Source organism: Homo sapiens, chromosome 3, assembly GCF_000001405.40.
Source record: "Homo sapiens chromosome 3, GRCh38.p14 Primary Assembly".
Lineage (NCBI taxonomy): Eukaryota > Metazoa > Chordata > Mammalia > Primates > Hominidae > Homo > Homo sapiens.
Window position 1 is genome coordinate 140,901,632 of NC_000003.12, and position 1,392 is coordinate 140,903,023.

At 37.1% G+C, this 1,392-nt stretch overlaps 1 pseudogene; it reads left to right on the plus strand.

Annotated features, from left to right (window-relative positions):
* Window positions 548–1,067, plus strand: RPL23AP41 (ribosomal protein L23a pseudogene 41; annotated as a pseudogene).

Below are 1,392 nucleotides of genomic sequence, written 5' to 3' on the forward strand. Positions count from 1 at the left end.
ACAGAAAGTGGAAGGAAAAATGGGCATGGGAGCCTGTCATGCTTCATCAACACACAGGCCAGTCTTTGCCTTAGTTTCCCCCATTAATCCCATATATGGTCTCCATTTAATTGGAACTTTAAATCTCCACCGTGGAACTCACCATAGTGCCTTGCTGTGCAATTAATTAACTTTGGGGTTGAATGGCATTGAGGGCTCATCATTAAAACATCTAGAGCAGCTCTGTCTAGTGTAAAGATAATGAGAGCCAGCTATATATGTCTAAATTTTCTAATAGCTTCACTTTCAAAAGTAAAAAGAAACTGGCAATATAAATGAAGTATTTTACTTACACCAATATATCCAAAATATTATGATTTCAATATGTAATCAGTATAAAAATTACTGAGATGTTCTATATTCTTTTTTTACACTAAGTCTTTAAATCTGGTAAATATTTTATTCTTACAGCACATCTCAGTTTGAAAAATCTCATGCTAAATTTCACCAGTAATACTTAATCTGTATTTATATTTCATAAAATTAATGGTTGAGAAAGTAGATTACGGACCCTTTTCATGAGATGGCGCTGAAAGCAAAGAAGGAAGCTGCTGCTGCTCCTAAAGGAGAAGCCAAAACAAAGGCTTTGAAGGCCAAGAAGGCAGTGTTGAAAGGTGTCCACAGCCACAAAAAAAAGATCTGCACGTCACCCACCTTCCAGCGGCCCTAGACACTGTGACTCCGGAGGCAGCCCAAATGTCCTCAGAAGAGTGCCCCCAGGAGAAACAAGCTTGACCACTATGCCGTCAAGATTCCCCTGACCACTGAGTCTGCCATGAAGAAGATAGACGACAACACACTTGTGTTCATTTGGTTGTTAAAAACAACAAGCACCAGATCAAACAGGCTGTGTGACATTGATGTGGCCAAGGTCAACACCCTGATTCACCCTGATGGAGAGAAGAAGGCATATGTTCGACTGGCTCCGGATTACAATGCTTTGGATGTTGCCATGTTGCCAACAAAATTGGGATCATCTAAACTGAGTCCATCTGGCTAATTCTAAATATATGTATATCTTTTCACCAGAAAAAAAAGTAGATTACATACTCAAAGTATTCGAAACATGCTTAAATATTTTCTAATATTAAATGAAGTTTCAATTGTTAAATGTAAATTTAAATTCATTAATATTAAATAAAATTTAAAATTCAGGTCTTTAGTTGTTATAGCCACATTTCACAGGCTCTATAGCCACATGTGGTTAGTGACTACCATATTAGACAAGAGTGGCTCTAGATAAATTCATGGTAACTGAACTTCCAAGCATGTTCTCTTTTATTGGTTTCTGTCAACAATAGGATGACAATTAATATTTACAGAGCACTTATTCTGTGCCTTTAAGCTCTTCAA